Raw genomic sequence first — 22,169 nt, forward strand, 5'->3', positions numbered from 1 at the left:
GCCACCCAGGCTGGAGTGGATCTCAGCTCACTGCAGCCTCCATCTCCTGGGTTCAAGCAATTCTCCTGCCTTAGCCTCCCGAGTAGCTGTGATTACAGGTGCCTGCTACTCCACCCAGCTAATTTTTGTATTTTTAGTAGAGACGGGGTTTCACCATGTTGGCCAGGCTGGGCTTGAACTTCTGACCTCAAGTGATCCCCCCCTTGGCCTCCCAAAGTGCTGGGATTACAGGCGTGAGCCACTGCACTTGGCATCTCCTCTTGAGGTTTTAATTTCTTCAACTGTTAAATCAGTTCCACAGCCCTTTCTATCCATAAACCCTTCATGATTCCTACTCTTTGAACACTTACAGCTTAAGAGATATTTGTTGATTTGGTAAGAAAGCATGACCGCACTTAAAAGGCTACTTATTATCAATTTTAGGCCATTTAGCTTGTGTCTGACATACTTCAAAGCCAGAGAAGAAAAGATATTATCTGACAGTACACATCTTTCTTCACCTGAGCACACATTTTCCATTTTACCTCTGGCTCTGCAAAAAAAAGGAGAGGGAGTGGGGAGGGGAAGGGGAAACACAGCCAAACTATGGAGCTCATGGGCTCTGGTGCAACATGTCCTGGGGAAACTTCCCAAAACCAAGGCCCTTGTTGGGTAAGAAGGCAGACCCTGCCTGACCTCTGCAGGAAAATTCCCCTTGAGCCAATGTTGCGGGGTCACACACTTCCAGCTTTCCAAGGCAAAACACATATGCTGCAGACACAATGGGCTTGGAGTAAACCAGTCCTTCCTGCAGATACCAGCCTGCAGAAAACACATTTTGGGAGCCTCTGGCCAGAGGAACTCAGTACATGCCACTCAGCCCGGGAGCAGTCAAAGATGCCATGGCAAGTAGACTCACTCAGCTGGGGAGCAGTGAAGATTGGCCACACTCATTGCTACCCCAGAAGCTGCAAGCTCCACTCACAGTTTTTTCCATCCCTCCCTCATATGATAATAGCTACCACTCTCAAGCACCTAGTTGGTGTGTTGACTGTGCTCAGCATTGTGTAGACATTAATTCTTCTAATCTCATAGCTGCTTCCTGAAGTAGGTACTGTTCTCCTCCACATTCTGCAGAGAGGATCCTGGAGCCCAGGAAGGTTGCATGACTGGCTATGGTCACACTGCTAGTAAGTGCAAAGTCAGGATCCTAACCCATGACCTGTATTCCAAATCCATTTCTAAGGTTTGTAATAAATCAGAAGCTGTGGTAGAAGGAGACATTGATGCTTCCAGACCTAGCCTGTCTCTCCCCAGGGACAGTGCTCATTCTGCCTCTCCCATCCACAAGAAGGTTCTGAGGATACTGGGGCTGCCTGGGACTTCCTATCCTGGTTGGACCAAGACCTATGCAGAGCAACTTGGCTTCCGGGGAACTTCAGCAGCCCTGGTCTTCCATGGGCTGAGTCATTGTAGCTTAGCCTAACGTTCTTAGCTGGAACAGTCATAGGAAAGTGTCTGGAAACTCCCCCATGTCTTATCGGCAAAGAATTTATTGAAGACAGTTCAGCCACATTCCTCAGCTTTCCCAAACCTCACCTTGCCCTGGGAGAATGAGAAAGGCCAGAAAGACATAAGGGCGAAAATGAGCCATGGAATTAGGAAGAGCTTTTCATGCCAGTGCAGGGAACTGGCAGCTTCTGCAAACATACCACTGACAACAGCTGGCCTGTGAGGGCCCAAGGACAATCACCCTGGGCCCACGGATGCCTGGGCCCCTAATAATGACCCTGGGCCCAATAACCCTGGGCCAATGACCCTGGGCCCCTGCCGTACGCCATCCTATGCCATCCATCTACCTTGACTAGTGCCAAATGCCTAATGTGTGCAAGGAGCTGAGTTAGGCGCTGATAGAGCCCAGTGGTTGAGTTTCTTAGGCAGATCTGGACTCAAAGTTCACATCTGTGCTTATTGGCTATGTGACCTCAGACAGGTTATTTAATCTCTCTGAGTTTTATTTTCCTATCTGTCATTTATCAAAACTTATGAGTTGTGGTGAGGATTAAATGAGAAATATATATGCTCAGCTTAGTGTGTGACATACCACAAGTTGTCAAGTCATAGAAGCTTTTATTAAGTATCAAACAATCATGTCACACCTTAATGAATTCAAACCTGGTATGGGTTAGGAACTGTGCTTGGCTCTGGAGGGAGGTGGAAAGACAGACACAATCCTTGTCTTCAAGGAGCTCACAGGACAGTGAATTAGCAAATTATTACTAGGAAGGAAATGTATCCAGAGAGATATATAAAGGGTATGAAGAGAACAGAGACTGGAGACCCATGGGAAGGGTAGGTACAATTTCCTGGAGAAGGTGATGTCTGAGCTGGTACCAAAGCAAGGTGGGAATTTGCCAGCTGAAGGAGAAGGGGCTGGGAGGTAAGGGCAGCCAGAGAGGGCAACTGGCACAAAAGCTTATGCATTACTCAATGCATGGTATGAACTAGACAGGGAATGGCTGAGGATGAAAGGACTCCAGGCTTGATGGAGAAGAGCTGGGTTCCAAAGGGCTATCCTTCCCTTTCCAGCTGTTAACCTTTTGTGTGTCTTATTATCCCTTGGAGACTTAATTTCCTTATCAGTAAAATAGAGCCACCACTAGCTACTTAACAGGGTGAGCTCCATTAGAAAATGCTACAGTGTTTGCACAGTGACAGGCATGTTTGTGGCTGAGTCTCTTGCACCCCAAAGCACGGTCCCTGGTGCAGCCAGTAGTTTGGGGTGCTCAAAAAGGTATCACACTAGCTTTCTTAGTGGAGTACTCACTATGGGCCAGGCACTGTGATAAACCATATGAATCTTATCCAGTTAGATAAGCTAAGCATGATCATTACTCCTCTCTAGGCGTGTCCAGAACTGAGGGGGTTCTTAGCAATCAGAAAATTCTGGGCAGACCTGGAGGAGTTGGTCACCCAACAAATGGGCATCGGAATAGGCCCAAGGCCAGAGGCTGAGCTGGAATTTGAACCCAGTCCTGTCAGCACACAGCACCCGAGTTCTTAACCACTGCACTATTACTTAAACCCATAAATGATATTCTTTCAAAACACAGTAATTGCTAAACCGATTCATTCCTAAACAGACCAATTAATCTTCCCTGTCTTTAAACTAATTCCCCTTCCGCACAATGGGCCCAGCATTCCGTCTTGAGCTTATGACACTCATATTTAGAATACTTGAAATATTGTCCGGTGAACAGACTGTAAACAGGAGAGCAGAGGGAAGGAGGGGAAGGGAGGGGGGAATGGGACAAGGCTGCAGCCACCAGCACCTGTCCTACCCGGACCACAGCCGAGCGCAGTCTCAGCCTCTCTGCCCCCATCACCCACTCCTGTCCGGAGCCGGGGGCATCAGTTCCAAATATTTGGCAGGCCCACCCGATAAGCCCCGCAGTTGAGTAGCAGCTGTGAAATGGGAGTTTGGGAGGGCCATGGAGCTGAGCAAGCAGCAGAAGGCATCAGGACCTTTGATTTCTTTTCCAAAGCACATTTTAAATGAGTAGCATGCTGGTACGGGGCTGGCGGCCCACAGTGAGGGATGAACTGACGCCTGCTCGGCGACAGGCAGGCATATGACACAAGGGTAAAGTATTATTTACTTTCTGGGAACAGGTGCTGCCCAGGACTCCCAGTCCTCTCTTGCCTGACTTCTCCCCTATCCACCTGGCCCGGCCCTTCTCAGAGGCTGCTCCTTCCCTCACCCTGCACAGCCCCGGCCCTGGGCACTGCTTCCTTCTCAGCCCTTAGCAACATGTGGCTCACAGGCACCCAGCCCATGCCAGTGGGGGGTTGGGTCCCACCTGGGACATGTGCCTGCTGGAATCAGCTCATTTTACATAAGCTCTTGGCACAGATGCCAGGTGATAACAACTTTTTGGCCCCAGTTAACCTGCAACCACCCTGTCTGTGCCCACACAGACACAACAGAAAGTCATGGAAGAGTGAGAAAGAAAGTTACTGCACGCAAATGTCTTTGCATACTGCCAGATTCATTCTGGAAAAATGTCCTAGATTATGATCCACTATCAGCTTTTGTATTAGAAGGGAAACAACCAACTATGCAGGCAAAATCCACCTACCACCAGCTGGTCTTTCCTCCTCTGATTATGTGTTATTTCCCTAAATCTCTGGTTGGTAAATGTGCAAGAGAAAAGGTTTGGGCTCTTCTGTTGATTCACAAAACAATACAGATGGCAGTTAAGACATTTCTTTGCATAGCTTGATTAGGGACAGACAGAGAAGGGGGAGTGAGCAAAGGGCCTGGAGGTCTTGCTTGGCTCATGAACTGATCACAGGCTGCTTTTACTCCATGCCTCTCTTTCTGAACCCCATGAAACCCCACACCCCTCCTTCTGAACCTCAGAACACATTGGCACCAACTGTGAAGCAGCTCCTCAGCCCAGGGATGTGGAGAGGAAAAAGTGCTCTCAATCTGGCAGTGGAGGGAAAACAAATATACAATTCATGATAGCACATGGTCCTGGGTCATAGGCCATGAGTGAAAGAAGCCACATGCTGTGGGTTTAGAAGAGGACAAGATTGCCTGTGATTGAGGAGCTCAGAAGAATGGCCCCATAGTTGCCTGGTTTAGAGCCTCACTCACTCTCCTTGACCACGGTAAACTGCATCTTCACTAGCATCTTGTTTCTGAGCTTGCCCCACTTCAATGCACCTTGAATTCTTCTGCCAGAGAGGTTTTTCTAACTTGAAGATTGGACATAGTTTCATTCATTCAAAATCTTTCACTGGTTGCCATCACTCCAGGATAAAGAATGGCTCATTATCATCTAGCTCCTACCTCCCTCCCCAGCCTCGTCTTTTTTTTTTTTTTGAGATGGAGTCTCGCTTTGTCACCCAGGCTGGAGTGCAGTGGCACGATCTGGGCTCACTGCAACCTCCGCCTCCTGGGTTCAAGTATTCTTCTGCCTCAGCCTCTTGAGTAGCTGAGATTACAGGCACACACCACCATGCCTGGCTAATTTTTGTATTTTTAGTAGAGATGGGGTTTCACCATATTGGCCAAGCTGGTCTTGAACTCCTGACCTCGTGATCCCCCCACCTTGGCCTCCCGAAGTGCTGGGATTACAGGCATGAGCCACCGCGTATGGCCAGCTTCGTCTCTTAAACTCATCTCTTCCCACCATTTTTACTCCAGTGGTGCTGAACTTGACTTCATTTTCCCTTTCTTAGATTGGATTCATGATGAACTCCTATGCATCTTTCAAAACCCACCTTCCATATGATTGCCTTATAGTATTATGTTGTCTTCTGTGCTCTGTATCTTGTTCTGTTCTTGTTATAATTACTTGGATTATAGTGGTTTATTTTCCTGTTTATGTCTGCCAAAAAACTGGAGCTGCCTAGTGTGAGGGTTGTACATATATCAAGGATGTATCCCTGGCACCTAGCACAGTGCCTGGCACTTCATCATGCTCAACAAATGTTGGTACCCTGTCTTTCCACCAAAGGAAATGTGACATCCTACTGGGGGCTGGACATAACTAATGTCCTCAGTGGCCACCTCTCCCATTCTAGGCCCCTCTCCTGTAGTCCTCATGCCACACACCCCCTTACAAAGCCTGTATTTCCTCCAACCTCAACAACTCACTTCACCCTCCACCCCACCAAAAAAGGCCTGATCTCAGGGGAAGATAATTTAAGCCCTTCTAGTGATTAATTTTATCTGTGTTGTCTCCAGCTTGCAACTCACCCCTCATTATAGAAGCGTTACTAGACTTCTTCATCTGGTGGACCAGAGAAGAGGGCCAAAAAAAGAGACAGGATTTGATCATAGTTAATCTTTTTGTGTCTTTTGTTTATTTGCTCCTTTGTTCTCACAACAACTCTGCAAACAAGGTATTTTTACCTCCATTTTACAGATTAAGACCCTGGGGCTTGGAGACAGCAAGTGACTGTCCCAAGATCACTCAGCTGATAAGTGATGGAGCCAGGATTCCAGCCTAGACTGTCTGACTGCAAGGGGCTTGAACTTTTCACCGTAACGCAGGTGGGAGTCTGTGGAGTTGGGGGTGGGGTGATGTTTCCCAGCTACCCTCCACACAAAAAATGGAAAGTCACTGTCCTGATTATTTATCTACCCTAAATGTCCCGGGGTAAAATCCCATTTCTTCCAAGAGACCCTGCCTTGTTTATCCAGCCCAGACTGATCTTGTTTTCTGATCTCCCATTCATTTCTCAACCACATACTGACCCTCCACTCTGTACCAGTCTTAGGTACACATTGTGATGGGCCCCAGAGATACAAAATCCAGTAGGCCCTGGTCCTTCCCCCAGGTTCCTGTGGTGTACAGGGGAGAGGGAGCTGAGTGACCCGAGCAAGTTTGATGTCCTGCTGGGGGCCTGGGCCTACTCCAAAACACGCACATCTGTCATGTATGTCCCCTCTGTGGCCCTAAATTGGATTTTCAGTACTATGTTTTATTTTCTCATGGATTCCACTGCAACTCACATTTGTTATCAGGAATAGGGATTAAGCCCTACTGGCCTATGCGTGCCTCAGTTCTGTCATCTGTGAAGTGGTATATTGGCCCCAACAGTTCAGTCCTCATTCAGGAGCCCCCACGGTGAACTCTTCCTCTAGCCTCATCACCCAGCGTCACTCTCCTCACAACTCACTCTTGCTGGGTCTGGACTGAAGACTCTGTTCCCACAAACATGTCCCTCTCTCACCCTTCTGCCCCGGGTCTCCACCCACTACGGCCCCATTCATCCTTCTTGGCTCATCAAAGAGTCCACCTCCATCAAGCCTCTCCTGATTTCCCTAACCAGATGTAATCACTGACTCTCAGCCCTTCCTTGCAGACTTCAAGTTTCCAGCAGGCAAGGGCATGTTTCATGGGCAATTTTCCAAAGCATGCAAATACAGCAATTCCTAAACTCTGAGGCATAGTAGAAAGTACAACTGAACTAGGATTGGCTCTGAAATCCTGATTTCTAGCCTCCTCTCTAGTTGATACTTGTGTAACATACAAGGGATTAAAACTTTTGTTTGTTTTCATTGATCACTAAGCAAACACAAAAAAATTAAAGAAAGTTTAAACTATCCATTTCTACCACCAAGTGATAACCACTACTGTTATTTTGGTATAGTGTCTCCTTGTTTATGCATGTAACACAGACGGAAATAAACATACTGTCAATATTGTTTTGTAAACTTTTTCACTTAATATTTAATGGACATTGTCATTGGTAAAACTTGTTTCTATAGAAGAGTTTTCTTTAAAACAATTATTGGCTGGGTGCAGTGGCTCATGCTTATAATCTCGGCACTTTGGGAAGCCAGAGTGGGAGGATCATTTGATCCCAGGAGTTTGAGACCACTCTGGGCAACACAGCAAGACCCTAGTTCTACTAAAATAAAAAATTAGCCAGGCATGGTGGCACTCACCTTTATAGTCCTAGCTAACTGGGAGGCTGAGGTGGGAGAATCGCTTGAGTCCAGGAGGTCGAGGCTGTGGTGAGCTATGATTGCACAATTGCACTCCGGCCTGGGTGACAGAGTGCAAAAAAAAATTATAAAAAATTGTTGAGGTATAATTTACATACAACAAATACACCCATTTTAAGTGTATGGTTTGATGAGTTTTGGCAACTGAGTGCGCTCAGGCAACCACCACCACAATTAAGATTTAGAACACTTCCACCATTCCTGAAAGTTCCTGAAAAACCCTTGAAATCAATTCCTCCCTACACCTAGGCCCAGATAACCACTGATCTCCTTCTATAGCCTGATTTTCATAACTCCATTATATTTCATCCTATGGTACGCCCTTATTTGTTTGGCCGTTTCCCAATTGTTGGACGTAAGAGTGGTATTAATTTGTTTCCTTGTAATAAATTACAGTCCAATGAACAGTCTTTGGTCACATCTCTGACTCTTTCCTTGGGATAAATGTCCAGACCTGGAATTATTAGATTAAAGAGTAGGCATACTTTTAAGGTTGATGATAAATATTTGTGCGAGTCATTTTTAATTCCCCTGAGTCTGTTTCCTCATTTGTAAAATAGGGATTAAAAATTCCAACCTCAAGGAATTGTGAGGATTATATGACGTAGGATACAAGACACTTTGAATAACCAGCAAACCAATGCACAAATACCTGTGGAGCCGACTAGGAGGAAGAGCCTCTCAGGCAGATGGATATGAGTTTAAATCCTGACTCTGCCTCTCTTCTAACAGCCGACCTTGAGTAACCTATGTAGTCTTAGCAAACCTCAATTTTCACATTGTCAAATGCGAATAACGTGTTCCATTCTCGGAGGGTTGTTATGAAGGTAAAGTGCAATACTCCAGGTAAGGAGTTTAGAATAATTCCTAGCTTATAGCTGCTCAATAATTTGCAGTTGTTTGTTTCAGTCAAGGTTCTTGGTTACCGATAAATAGACATTAACTCTGTTTAACTTAAGGAGAATGGGAATTTCTTAGAAGAATAACAGGTAGCTCATGGAATCAACAGGAAGACTGGAGAACCAGGCGTGGAAAATGGGCAGGAACCAAGGTAGACTGGGCAGCTAAGACACAGCCCAGGCCTTGTCCCAGGAATTGTCTGCTTAGGGCCTGGTGCTGGCACTGCTGCCACTGAAGGCTTGCTGCTGAGGCTGCCACCAGACACTCAAGTTGTTTGGCTGGGATCATCCCAGGCCACCCCCATGTCTTCGTATCACTTGCTCCATATTTAAAGCTCCAGATAGAGGCATCCAAATGGTTGAGTCCAGCATGGGGGCCAGGGAATGATTAAAAAGATCATTTCCAGGGAATGGATAAAAAGATGCCTGCTTTCTTCCAACTTCTATAGAGGGAAGAGGGTCCCCGCCTCTTCCCAAAACCCACAAAATGAGAGGATTTCCTAAAATAGGAAATGGGCTCAGATACTAGGTAGCTAAAATGATGAGGGTCCACTACATTATTACTTTTAATATTATGATGATTAAATAAATATTTGGTGAATTGCATTTATTCTGTAAATGTGCTAAGTGCTATAGGGTGAACATTTTAAAGAAACTTTTTGATAAATGCTTTGATAAAAGATATGGCAAGGTTGCACATTTGGATGGTGTCATATTGGGTTTTCTTTCTCTGAGAACAGGCAGGTCTCCACAACCTTCGAACGATTTTAACGTGTGTGTGTGTGTGTGTTTGTGTGTGTGTGTGTGTGTGTGTTGAGGTGGGCATGAAGAGGACAGAGGGAGAAAGTGAAATCTGCGATTTACTGAAAATGTACATTCTTGATCAAACTCACAAATTCCATTGTTTATTTCCTGTTGGTTTGGTTTAGTTTTTCACTGAAACAAGAGAAGTCTACCAAGTAAGATGAGGTAGATAGCCCTGTTGGCCACAGCTAAGGGTAACCTGAGGGCTGGTGGAGAATCAATCGAACGCAGTCAGCAGCTGATTCTTGTTATTTATCTTTCTGTTATTTATTTAAGCTATGATTTATTGAGCACTTAATGGGCATTACTTTATTTAATTCTCACAATTACACTGTGATGGGCGAACTGAAGCTCAGAGGATAAATACTTCTTTCAAGGTCACACATCTAGGGAGTTAAAAAGTTTGGGATTTGAAGCCAGGTCTGCCTGCCTTTGAATTCAGTGCATCTAGCTACAAGTGCAGCAAAGCAAATAGTATGCACATGACTAGGGTTAGCTGGGGACAGGGCCACTGTGTAAACGGACATGTTAGCCTGGTAGATGTCACACTGGGGCAAAAGGTGGGAGGTGACTTCGCTGTGAGGTGAGTTCTCCAACAATCCTTCTGTTCAAGCATCTCAGACAGATTCCCAGCACCCCAAGCCCAAGGAGGTAGACTAGTCATTTACAGAACAGATTTTCAAAAATGTGTTTTTCCTTAAAAACTCCTTTACTATAAAAGGTTAAATGAATTTACACCCAGGTTAAAAAAAATCTGAAGTTTTCTACTTACCTCTGCCTCTCCTCCCTGTCCTTCTGGGCAATTAATGATGTCAGTTTTAATGTATTCTTGTGGAGTTCTTGCCATGCATTCAGAATTGTAAGTAACTATTAGTTAAGGTCACCTTCAGGAGCAGAAAAAACAAAAAGCAAAAGTAAGTATTTGCATATCCTTTTATGAATAACATAATTGTATCATACTATGTGCATTGGTCTACCATTTACTTTGTTCACTTAGCAATACATCTTGAAGATCTTTCCATGATGGCACATGTAGCTTTACCTCATTTTAAGTTTTCCATGGTTGACCATTGGATGAATATACAATATTCGTAGTTGTAAATACATAGTTTACTTAATACTATATATTACTAAAGATGTGGATTATTTCCTCTTTTTTTGCTGTTATAAACAACGATGCAATGATCCGCAAGTGATTTTTCTGCTCCTGAAAACATATTCAAACTGTTTGCATTTATAAATGCAACCTATCTCATTGATTGGTAGGTTGACCTCAAGGATAAGATTGCAGATTTTAACTCAGCTTGGACCCTCCTCTGAGAAGCCATCCCTGATGGGTCCCATTTACTTGAGATCGTCACTTCTTCCTTGTATTCCCTTTGCACTCTGCACACACTTTAATCACTGATCTTATCACTCTGAAGTGTCATTATTTATACACTTGTGTTTTTTTCTGCCAGATTGTGAATTCCATGAAAGCAGGGACTGTGCTTTCTGAGTCTCTAGCCAAGCACCTGCCACATGGTAAGATCAATAAATATTTGTTAAATTTAGCTGATTATATGTGCCTAACACTCCATTGGCCCGCTCACAAGTTTTAAAGGCATGGTTTCCCTCTCTCTGTCTCTCTCTTTCTCTCTCCTATACCAAGTCACACATATAATAAACATACAATGTGTATGCTCCCATAGAGAAACTAAACTATCCTGTAAAATGCTTGAATTTACCAGTGATTAGAAAAGACATGAATGGAGTCTTTTTTTCTGTCTAAAGGAGTTGTTGTTTACTCTCTGTATTAGTTTCCCAGGGCTGCTGTAACCAGGTACCACAAACTGGGTGGCTTAAACAACAGAAACTTATTGTTTCACAGTTCTGGAGCCTGGAAGTCTGAAATCAAGCAGCAAGCTTGATTCCCTCTGATGGCTGTGAGGGAGGGATCTGTGAAGGATGCAGCCTCTCTTGGTGGCTTGTAGAGGGCCTTCTCCCTGTGTCTCTTTCCTCTCTTCCTGTCTGTCCACATTTCCTCTTCTTGTAAGGACACCAGCCATAGTAGATTAGGGTCCATCCTAATGACCTCATTTTAACTTGATTACCTTTGTAAAGATACTTTCTCTAATAACATTCTGAGGTACTGAGGAAATTCAACATAGGAATATTTTGAGGGGGTCACAATTCATCCCAAGAACACTGTCCTTCTGAAAATTGTTTTAAAATCACATCAAGGAACCGCCGATCAGCAGGAGTCTCCTGGGACTATAAAAACGAAAAAGAAATGTCTTTGGGTATGTGACTGACAGTTGGCCAAGGTGGGTGAAACATTTCCTTCCCAGTCAGAAGTTTGAGGGTCACCCTTGCCCCCATCCTGGGCCCAGCATCTGGAGCTCAAGTTCTCTCTGCCCTGGAAAGTAGAAGGTGCTCTACTCACTGCTAATTACACTGCCTGCCATTCCCTGAGGCCTTTAAAATATTTCTCTGATGGTATGGAATCTGAGCTCCTGACTGATAAAAGCTTTGAGTTTCACAAGAGCTTGGTTCTCCAGGTACTTTTTCAGCACAGGCTAATATCTATGTGTCATCTATTCAGCCTCGTTTAGGATGAAGCTCTATCAGGAGGCCTAACTTTGGGTGTAAGGGGGACTTCTGCCCTAGGAGTGGGCATGGGCCCCTCCTCGGAGGTCCTACACTCCGTGGGATTCTCTGATCCAGCTCCAATGCAGATGTAATTGTCTCTCTATTCAACTGTCTCTGCCACTGGCTTATCTCTGTCTTGCTCACTGTGTCCCCTTAACAGCTGACACTGGGACAGATGATCTTTCTGGACTAGTCAGCAAATCCCAACTGCTTATGCCAGAAACCTGCCTCCTGAGACACAGCATGGCTTTGGCAAACTGGGCCAACTGGGGTGGGGGAGGGGAGCCCAGGGTATATAGAAAGGGAGTCGGGGGAAGGGCTGCATATGAGGGAGTGTGATTGGGAGTTTGAGGAGGAGAACCTGGTGGAAATGGACACAAAAGTCTTCCAGAAAGGGTCAGTGGACTCATTCATTCATTCATCGATTCATTCAACAACTATTTTTCAAGCACATGCTATGTGGCAGACACTACACTTGGCACTAGGAATGATGTAGTGAATAAAATGAAATGCCTGCCTTCATGAGCTTACATTTTAGTATGGACAGGAACAAAAATCAAATAAATTAATGTACAAATCCTATGTCTAGCACGACACTATAAGTGTTTTATGATGAAACCCGAAGCAGGGCAAGGGTGTGCTCTTTTAGATAAGTCTAAAGGGAAGGCTCAGAAGAAATATTTTAGCAAAGACCTAAATGAAGTGATGGGGAAGCCATGTGAATACCTGGGGAAGAGCACGCCAGCCCATGGGAAGAGAAGCACAAAGTCTCTGAGACAAGTATGGGCTGGTGTGTCAGAGCCACAGAAGGAATCCAGTGATGGGGAGAAAAAGTCAGCAGCCCATGAGAGCAGCGCACAGAGCTAACTCTCCTAGGGTTCATTGTTTTTGTTTGTTTGTTTGTTTGTTTTGCTGAAATGTATTGAAATCTTACTATGTATCAGGTTTTAAGGACTTTAGATTTATTAGCTCATTTATTTCTTCAAAAAACATTATGAGATAGGTATTATTATCATCCCTATTTTATTTTATTTTTTTAAATTAATTAATTTATTTTTTGAGACGGAGTCTAGCTCTGTCGGCCAGGCTGGAGTGCAGTGGCATGATCTCAGCTCACCCCAACTCCACCTCCCGGGTTCAAGCAATTCTCCTGCCTCAGCCTCCTGAGTAGCTGGGATTACAGGCGTGCATCATCACACCTGGCTAATTTTTTTTTTTTTTTGTATTTTTAGTACAGACAGGGTTTCACCATGTTGCCCAGGCTGGTCTCAAACTCCTGACCTTGTGATCTGCCCACCTCAGCCTCCTAAAGTGCTGGGATTACAGGCGTGAGCCACCACACCCAGCCTATCATCCCTACTTTATAAATGAAGAAATTGAGGCACAGATCGATTACACAGCTTGCCCAAGCATACGGCTAATAAGCGATTGGGCCTAGATGCCCACTCCAGGCACCTCATAACCACTACACTGTCCTTCGATTTGAGCCTTAACCTTGTTAGAGCAGCTATCGCCCCATTGCCCCCTCATCTGTGCTTCCGGGAGGAGCTCTTTTTTCAAGGAGCAGCCAGTATTCATTCATTCACTCAACCAAGGTTTGTTAAGCTCCACTATGTGCACACAACGGTGCTGGGTCCATGGGAGAAAGAAGTGAGGAAGACAGAGGAGTAGTCAGGAAGACAAGTAAAGATCCACAGAGGAGGTAAACGCACGATGTTATGAGGACCGTATCCACGCTCGGGTAGGTCAGGAGTCACAGAAGCCTTTCTAGAGAAAGGTGATCTGCAGCCAGGTCATCCAATGCCCCGGGGGACAGGGCATGAATCAGCCCTTCTCCCACCTCCCCTCTCACTGGGAGAACCTTGTATGCGGCAAACCCCACAGCTGTCTATATGCCCCGCCAGTGCATACCACTTGCCAACGAATCCACTCTTCATTGTCCACAAATCACCAATCACTATTCTCCTTCCTAAAACATGCCTGCTTTCCTCCTATCCTCGCACCCATCCCTACCCACTGCTGGGATTGCAGGTGTTGGAGCAGCTAAGAAGTGGCTCCTCTCTCCAAAGAAGAGTGCTGGAGAGCTGCAGCAGCTTTGAGGGATGTGTGTCAGGCTTTACTCCCTGGCTGAGAGAGGAGTTTGGATGCAGTAGCAACCCCCCTGAAGTCCCAGCGTGAGTGCAGCTGTGGTAGAGTGATGAAGGGTTGCAGAAGGCCCTGCCTACTCATCAAACCAGTCCTAAAAGGGAGAAAAGCAGGCAGGAAGGAACCATGAGGCCTTGGAAGCACAAGAAAGGGAAAACCAACAGCTGGGCTCAGGAGAACCCCCGCAGCCTGGCCAGCCCTGAGGCCTTCTCTGCCAATAATAAATCTAGGGGTGCCGCAGTCCACAAACTCTGGCCCTTACTTTCTTCCTCAGAGGGGAAAAGGAAAGGTGAGGAAGTGGGTAGCTCTTAGAAGACTGTTTTGGTTTCTAAGTAAAAAAGAGTTGTTTTTGATGTCTGCCCAGAGATAGAGCCAGGTCCCAGGGGGCTGGATTTTGTGGTTCCAGTAAAAGGAGCCATGTTGACATGGAATTCTTGGATTGGCCTCATTTCATTAAAAACAAGCAGCCAAACCAAATGGGAAATGGAATTCAGCAGAGAAGCATGTGCTGACTCCCCCTCACCATCCCATCCTGCCCCACAAATTTGCCTTTCAATGCCAATCAGCACATAACTTAGGTTTCCTAACCAATGTTCTAGCATCAGGGATTTTGCTGGCAGGTCCTTGAGCTCACAGGACGTGCAGTTTGCTCCCAATGGGCTGTTTCTTAGCAGGGTCAGCCTGTGCCCATGACCTTGTCACTTCTCAAACTTCCTGTCCTTTAGTAGGGGAAAAAAAGTACAAGGCAAAGAGATGATTGGAACCAGACCAGCTGTCCTAAGAAGGTGTCCCATAATTCGTAGATCTCTGTAGTTTTGGACTTGTACTTCCTGCCTTCTCTGTCCTAGAGTGGGACCTTAGGTGATCACTTTTCATAGCCTGCTTCTATGGTTAAAAGTCAGGCCAGTTTCCTGTGCATCAATCATTGAAGATGGAAGATGGATTTCCAACCAATCAGCTCTGTGAGTTTAGACAACTTGCTTAACCTCTCTGTGTCTTGATTCCCTTGGCTGTCAAATGGAGACAAAATGCCTCTATTAGGTTTCTAAAAGGATTAAATAAGAACATATATGTAAAATGGTGAAGACTTGCTGTCCATACACATAAGCATCCCATAAATTGTAATGGTAATTATTGATTTATTATTAATATCATATTAGTCAACCAATGTATTAGCCAAGCTTCTTTTGATTATAAAGAGCTAAAATAAGAACTAAAATCTAGCTCAAGAGAAAGGTGGTGATGGTAAAGGCAGGGAGGTAGATTATTGTAAGGGTACAAATTAACTCATAGGATAGGGGGCAGGAGATAAAGTTGAGTTTCAGGTGATTTGGAATCAGGAACTGAAAACCTGGCACTAAGACTCTTTATTCTCCATCCTAGAGTGTCTTCTAGACCAGCGCGGTCCAACAGAACCATCTGCAATGATGGAAGTATTCTATATCTGCACAGAGGATCTGAGTTAAAAATTTCTAATAATTTAAGTAAATTAATTTAAATGTAAACACATTAACTTAAATCAATTAATTAAAATTGTTATTTAAATAAAATAGGTACATGAGGCTACTGTATTGTCCATCCCAGTTCCAGACCTTTCTCCTCCCTCCTTCTCTGGCCCCACCCCAGCTTCCTTTGCATCCTCATTGGCACGAAGCCTACCACAATTATGAGCTCTGCCTTTACTGCCTCACTTCTCAGCCCAGGGCCCACCATCAACTCCAGCGCCTCTTGTTTTGGGTTCTAAAACCTAGGATAGTAATTTGACTTCATTCATCTTTTCATGCCAGGCAGCAAATTAAAGGCCACTTTATGTAGGGAACTCTTCAAGGTCAGGGCTTCGCTCCCAGACCATTGGGTCATGGAGTTTTGTCCTGTTTCTCCAAGGGCTGAGTGGGGATTTCCCCCAGGAGGGGCTGAGTGGGGCAGGCAGCTCTGGTGCACTGTACTTTTCATCTCAGGATGGCAGTCATCCAGTGGTTGGCATCGATGGCTTGCTGGTTCAGGAGCTGTACCGCTAAGGATAGGGAGTGTGCCTATGCCTTTCCCGGCTTCTGCAGTGATTCAGGCCCTGTTTGTGACGAAAGCCCAAAGATCCTTTGTTAACTGGTGAACCTTGGAGGAAGCTGACTGAGCACGGACAGCAGGCTGCCCAGGGTGCTCCATGGAGCCACATCTGAGCCTGTGGGTGCTCCTGTGACAGCTCGATGATGACAAACCAAAGAAAACAGCAGGTTTGAAAAAAAAATGTTTTTGTTTTCCTCCAGACTCCTGGAGGCACCAAGATGACATAGCTTAATATTGGTGAGCCAGAACAATGGCAGACTTGGGGACCTCTGTGTCATTGTCAGCTATTGGCTTCACCCTGTTGATTGAGCTTGACAAGCCTTCTCGCTCAAGCAACTGACTAGTGCCGGCAAACAGCTGGTATGTCTAGTCTTTGTTTTTAGGCCTTTTAATTTGTCTGATTCTTTGAATAAATGGAATCAATGGGTTGTTTAACTTATTAATCAAGCATCAAACATTATTAAAGGGACAGCTACATGCCCCAAACTGTGCTTGGCTTTGTGGACAGATATAAAAATAGATCCTTATTGAAAACTGAGTGTAGTAATTCCCACCTCTCATGGTCGTCAGGAAGATGTGAAGACTGATCATAGAGCCAGAGAAGGAGGGAAGTGGGGTTTCTCATCCCTGCTCCCACTCCTGCCTGCTTTCCCACCCCGTATATACTCTTTGCACAGCAGCAGATTGATTGGTTGCATAAGTACTCCATAAGGTCACATTCCTGCTAAAAACCCTCTAATGACTCCCCACTGTACATAGAATAAAATCCATTCAAGATGGATGCAAGACCCCAACCCACCTCCATGATCCCAATTCCTGTAATTCTTTCCCTTACTCACCCCACCATGGCTGCACTGGCCTCTGACCACTCCACTCCTTTGCACCAAGCTCAGGCTTACCCTGGGCCTTTGCACTGACAGGTCTCTCCTCTTGGAATATTCTTTTCCTAGATTTTTTACACGGTTGGCTTTTCTTGCTATTTGTTCACATCCTCAGAGAGTGCTTTCTTGATCATCCAGTTGAAAGTATCTTCCCTGCCACTTTCAATCATACTCACCTTACTTTATTTTCATTGTGGAGCTTACTGTTCACTACCTGACATTCTCTGGGTGGTGGTGGTAGTTGTTTGCTTACTTTCCATATTCCCCAATTAGAATAGCCTCTTCAAAAAAATCATCAAAGCAGGACTTCATCTTGTTTGCCTTATAGCTTTGCAACTCCTAGAGCTGCACAAAGCACAGATAGGTCCTCAGTTATTGTTTCATGAATAAATGATTGACTTAATGAGAAGACTGACTGATGGTTCAGAGCAGCGGTTTTGCAAAGATCTAGGGTTGTATATTGTGTTTAAATGTATGGTCTAGATTTTTGTTTTTGAACAGAATAAAGGATTAGTCCTCTAATATTCCTGAGTGCAGGTTTGGACCTTTCTGGGCCTAAATTTCCTCTGCTATAACATGGTGATTCCCCTATCACCAACTGAATGTGGCTACTCAGAAGTATGCCTGATTCACTTTTGAAAAATGCTTCGGAAAGACCAATTCTGTACTGAGTACAAAGCCAGAGACGGCCTTAGACTCGTGCTCAAATATCCAGTTGCTTCCTGAACTTCAGCATTTGGATGCTTTGCAGGCTCCTCCTACGGAGTGTGTCTGAAACTCAGCTGCACATCTTCCCCACTCCACCCAGACCCATTCCTCCTCCCTCGTTTCCTGTTCCCATGAGTGGCACAGTCACCCTTCCAGGGTAATGGCCAGAAACATAGGCCTGATTCTCAATGCCCATTTCTCTCTCTAACTTCAGGCTGAATTGGTCGATTCCACCTCCTGTCATCTGAATCCATCCAATTCTGTCCTTTTGTCTCCATCCTCCTACTCTTACCATTGTCCAGGCCCCTTTTATTTCTTGCTTAGGTTACCTACACAGCTTCCTTACTAGTAACCTTGCCTGCATTCTTTCTAATTTCCAATCTATTCTCCATACTACAAATAACATTTAATTAAAAATTGAATCACAGCATCTTTTCTTCAGTGGTTCCCCAAGGCCCCTGAGTGAAAGTCAAAACTCCTCAACATGGTTTATGAGGCCTTAACATTGCTTACTTCATCCATCTCACTTCTTGCAACTTCCCTCTTCCACTTCGTCCTTATCTTCTTTAAAAAAAATTTTTTTAAGAGATGGGGTCTCACCCTGTTGCTTAGGCTGGAATGCAGTGGTGGAATCATAGCTCATTGCCGCCTTCAACATCTGGACTCAAAGGATCCTTCAGCCTTAGCCTGCTGAGTAACTGGGACTACAGGTGCACACAACCACACCTGGCTGATTTTCAAGTTTTTTTTTGTAGACAAGGGGTCTCAATATGTTGCCCATGCTGGTCTTGAACGCCTGGCCTCAAACAATCCTCCTTCCTTGTCATTTCAACGTGTTAGGATTACAGGCATGAGCCACCCCACCCGGCCCCATTCTCAATTTTTTTTTTCTTTCCTAAATACTATGTGTCTTTTTTATTGTCAGCACTGTTATTCATGCTGTTCTCTCTGTCCAGAACATTCTTGCCTGTCCCTTTGCCAGATGCCTAACAATTCCTTCATTCTTGCACAGGTGTCAGGATTTCAGTCCCCCGACTCTGACACAAGTTTCCCTTCTCAGCAAACCATAAATAATTGCTGAGACTAGTGGTACTACTACTGCTATTAATAAAATTAAGAGGGGTATTAGACATAAGATAGCCGCCTGGGGTTTAAGCAAAACAGAAGTGTGTTTCTTTCTCATAAAACAGACTGGAGGTTGGGGACTATTTGGGAGGTCATTTCTCCTTTTTTCTCCAGTTTCACCATCCTTTGGGAGTGGCCTTGCCACTACGGTCCCAGATGGCTCACTATCACATCTAACATTCCAGCCATCCATCCCGTATGATGGAATAAACAGAAGTAAAGAGAGCAAGCCCTTTTTCCTTGCTCCTGGAGATAAAGCAATCTATGATTATAACAGAGAAGGGTAACAGGACAACTTGCCAATATTCATAGAGCACTGGCTAAGTGCCTTTTCTAATTCAACCCTCTCAATTACCCTATGGGGGTAGACACTGTTATTATCCCCACTCCCTTTCAAGCAGATGATGTTTTATCAACAAGCCGACTTTGCAGATCTGAGAAATAATATGAAGGGCTGGCCAACCTGGGTAGACCATGTGATAGCAATTCTTTCTCAGAAAGTTTTCATGTGATGTGCACATGACTTTTATGTTTGTTAATAAACACAGCAAGAATTCCAGCACTCCGTGTTCTTTTATAGCTATTATTTCAAATTCGGTGCTATGATCATCTAAATTATATGTGCATGTAGTTAAAGAGCCAAAAAGTTCTACATACTTTGGTTCAAATGTCAGTGATTACTTCCCCGTTCCCCACAGCTTCCCCAAATCTCCGCAGCGCAGTTTCCCATGGTCCAGAGACAACCACCTCCAATATTTTTGCTGATTCATTTTGTTATTCACCTCGTATCATGCTTATATTGCTACTTTGAGATTTCTCAGTTTAGGCATTATCTTTTGGCTTTGCACCATGAAAGATGAGGATTTAGCTCTGCCATCAGCGGCCTGCACCATGTGCAACATACAAATACGCTTTCCCCCTCTTCTATCTAATATAGATGTAACTCGATTTCAGCCAGAGCAGTATTTTTATAGCTGGTCATCTAGTACGCTAGACTTGTTACTTTTCTCACACATTATTTTGCTTGTTTTCTTTGGAATTATTTTCTTATTTTTAAAGTTTGGCTCATGCCTCTAATCCCAGCACTTCGGTGGGGGGACTGCTTGAGTCCAGGAGTTCCAGACTAGCCTGGGCAGCATACGACAACAACAAAAACTAGCCAGACATGGTGGTGCGCACCTGTAGTCCTGGCTATTCAAGAAGTTGAGGTGGGAGGATACCTTGAGCCCAGGAATTCAAGGCTGCGGTGGGCTGTGATCTTGCCACCACACTCCAGCCTGGGCAACAGAACAAGACCCTGTCTCAGAAAAATAAATAAATAAATAAAGTGGCTTCATTTTCTGTGTACTTATCTCTAAGTAAGCCTCAAACCTGTCCACTGTGACAGAAATACTTTCCCAACATTTCCACATATATTTGGTATTCTATCAATTTCAACTTTTTGAGGCAATCTCTCTGGGGGCCTTCTAACTAGCTTGGGTCTAGACAGGTGGCCCCTATGCTGGGTGCTCGGCTGTCACCCCAGGATCTCTGCACCATTGTCTTGGGCCTTCCCTGGGCCTCTCTCCTAGGTTGGAGTGCCTTACTTCTGGGTCCCATGCTTTCTTCTTTCTTGGAATCTTTTCATTTTGGAGCGTAAGAAAGAGGACAAAGGAGGGTTTTGTTTGTTTTGAGCCCATGGCACATGTTTAACCTACGATCTTTAATAGGAATTCTTAGCCTTATGTCAGAGATGAAGCAATTGAAGTTTAGGATTATTAAGCAGTTAGGAAGTTGTCGAGTTGGTCTAGTAGGATATGTCTTGGGTCAGAGCTTCCGTCACACTGTTTTCTTATCTATCTTCTCTGTTGAGCCATGAGCTCTCTTAAGGCAAGGACCAATCCTATCTGTTCCCTTTTGTATCTCTAGTAGCAGGCTGTCCTAGGCGCTCAACTAAGGTTTCTTGAGTGAATGTGTTGGGTCTGATTTTGGAGGACATTGTTTGTTCCATCCTAACGGAATAAAAATCCCAACATTTTGTTTTTAACCTGCCAAGCCCAAATTATCTGTACCTGCTGTAATTATCTCCCACTGCCCCAGGCGCCCCCTCCCCCACAGTTTTGTGCTTGTTGTCATCTTAGAAGACAGATAGACATCTGCCTGCACCTGAAATGGCTCAAAAAATTTCCTTGGGAAGGTCTCGCCTTCATTCTTAAACCACAACATACACTTCCAATGTTTATTTTTGTGAGACACACAATAGTATAATCACAAAATATTTTTTCCCTAAAGAACAACTTACTCAAGTGAAGGCAATGCTATATTTATGACTTTTTTTTTCCTGTTTTTAGGATACCTCATGGAAACTTGACAGAACAAAGGATTTATTTTTTATTAGGTTAAATCTGCTTCTTGGGTACTGTTTGCTTGCTGCCCATTAAGTCTGGACATCTCAATTTGAAAAAAAGGCACTTGGATTAATAAAAACAACCTGAAACAGATCCCTTTAGTGGGGTGACTCTGTATTATGTTAAAACGTAATGTGACAAACACGGCTGCAGCGCCCTCCCAGAACCCAAACCTTCCAAGCTAAAAATAGCCCTTGGTCTTTCCCTGCAACTCAAAAACAGGAACAGCATAACTTGTTTGCCTCATTATGTGTTCTGCCCAGGGATCCAGCCCTCTCACATCCTGGCTCTTGCATACTTTCACAAATTCTAATCTGCCCATTACAAATCCAACAGGCCTCATGGTAGGAAGTGAATTCTGCACAAACACAACTGCCCTAGGTCCTTAAACAATGCACTGTTCACCCAGGGGCTCACAGGAGGGAATAATAACTTTAACCACCACTTAGGGGAGGCATCTCTTAATATTTTTCTGGTTCTATGGGCATGAAGATAGGCACGCTATGTGTTTTAACCTTTTCCATCCTTACCATCTATGAGGGTAAATCTTATTATTATCCCTATTTTATAGATAAAGGAAATGAAGGCTCAGGAGATAAAAGAACTTGCCCACACTCACCCAAGACAGTGTAGGAGTGGTGGCCAAACCCAGCTGGCTTTCACATTAATGAGCATCACAGCAAACTACCTCACCATAATGCCATGGCCAAGTGAGTGGGACCTCCACTCAGAAGTGAAGGGAGATGGGCTGGGCATGGTGGCTCACACCTGTAATCCCAGCACTTTGGAAGGCAGAGGCGGGTGGACCACCTGAAGTCAGGAGTTTGAGATCAGCCTGGTCAACATGGCGAAACCCCATCTCTACTAAAAATACAAAAGTTAGCCAGGCATGGTGGCGCACGCCTGTTGTCTCAGCTACTCGAGAGGCTGAGGCAGGAGAATTGCTTGAACCCGGGAGGCGGAGGTTCAAGCCTCTGCTATCAAGCCTGAGCCGAAATCCCACTATTGCACTCCAGCC

At 44.8% G+C, this 22,169-nt stretch overlaps 1 long non-coding RNA gene across 1 annotated transcript in view; it reads left to right on the forward strand.

Moving 5' to 3' along the window:
• Positions 1-21,244, forward strand: part of LOC105378780 (uncharacterized) — a 28,350-nt gene extending 7,106 nt beyond the window's left edge. Inside the window, exons 2-4 of the long non-coding RNA XR_947474.4 lie at positions 5,919-6,046; positions 10,671-10,734; positions 21,095-21,244. This is a non-coding gene — a long non-coding RNA (uncharacterized LOC105378780). The remainder of the gene's footprint in view (positions 1-5,918; positions 6,047-10,670; positions 10,735-21,094) is intronic.
• The last annotated feature ends 925 nt before the right edge of the window (positions 21,245-22,169 follow it).

Source organism: Homo sapiens, chromosome 1 (genome assembly GCF_000001405.40).
Source record: "Homo sapiens chromosome 1, GRCh38.p14 Primary Assembly".
Taxonomy (NCBI): domain Eukaryota; kingdom Metazoa; phylum Chordata; class Mammalia; order Primates; family Hominidae; genus Homo; species Homo sapiens.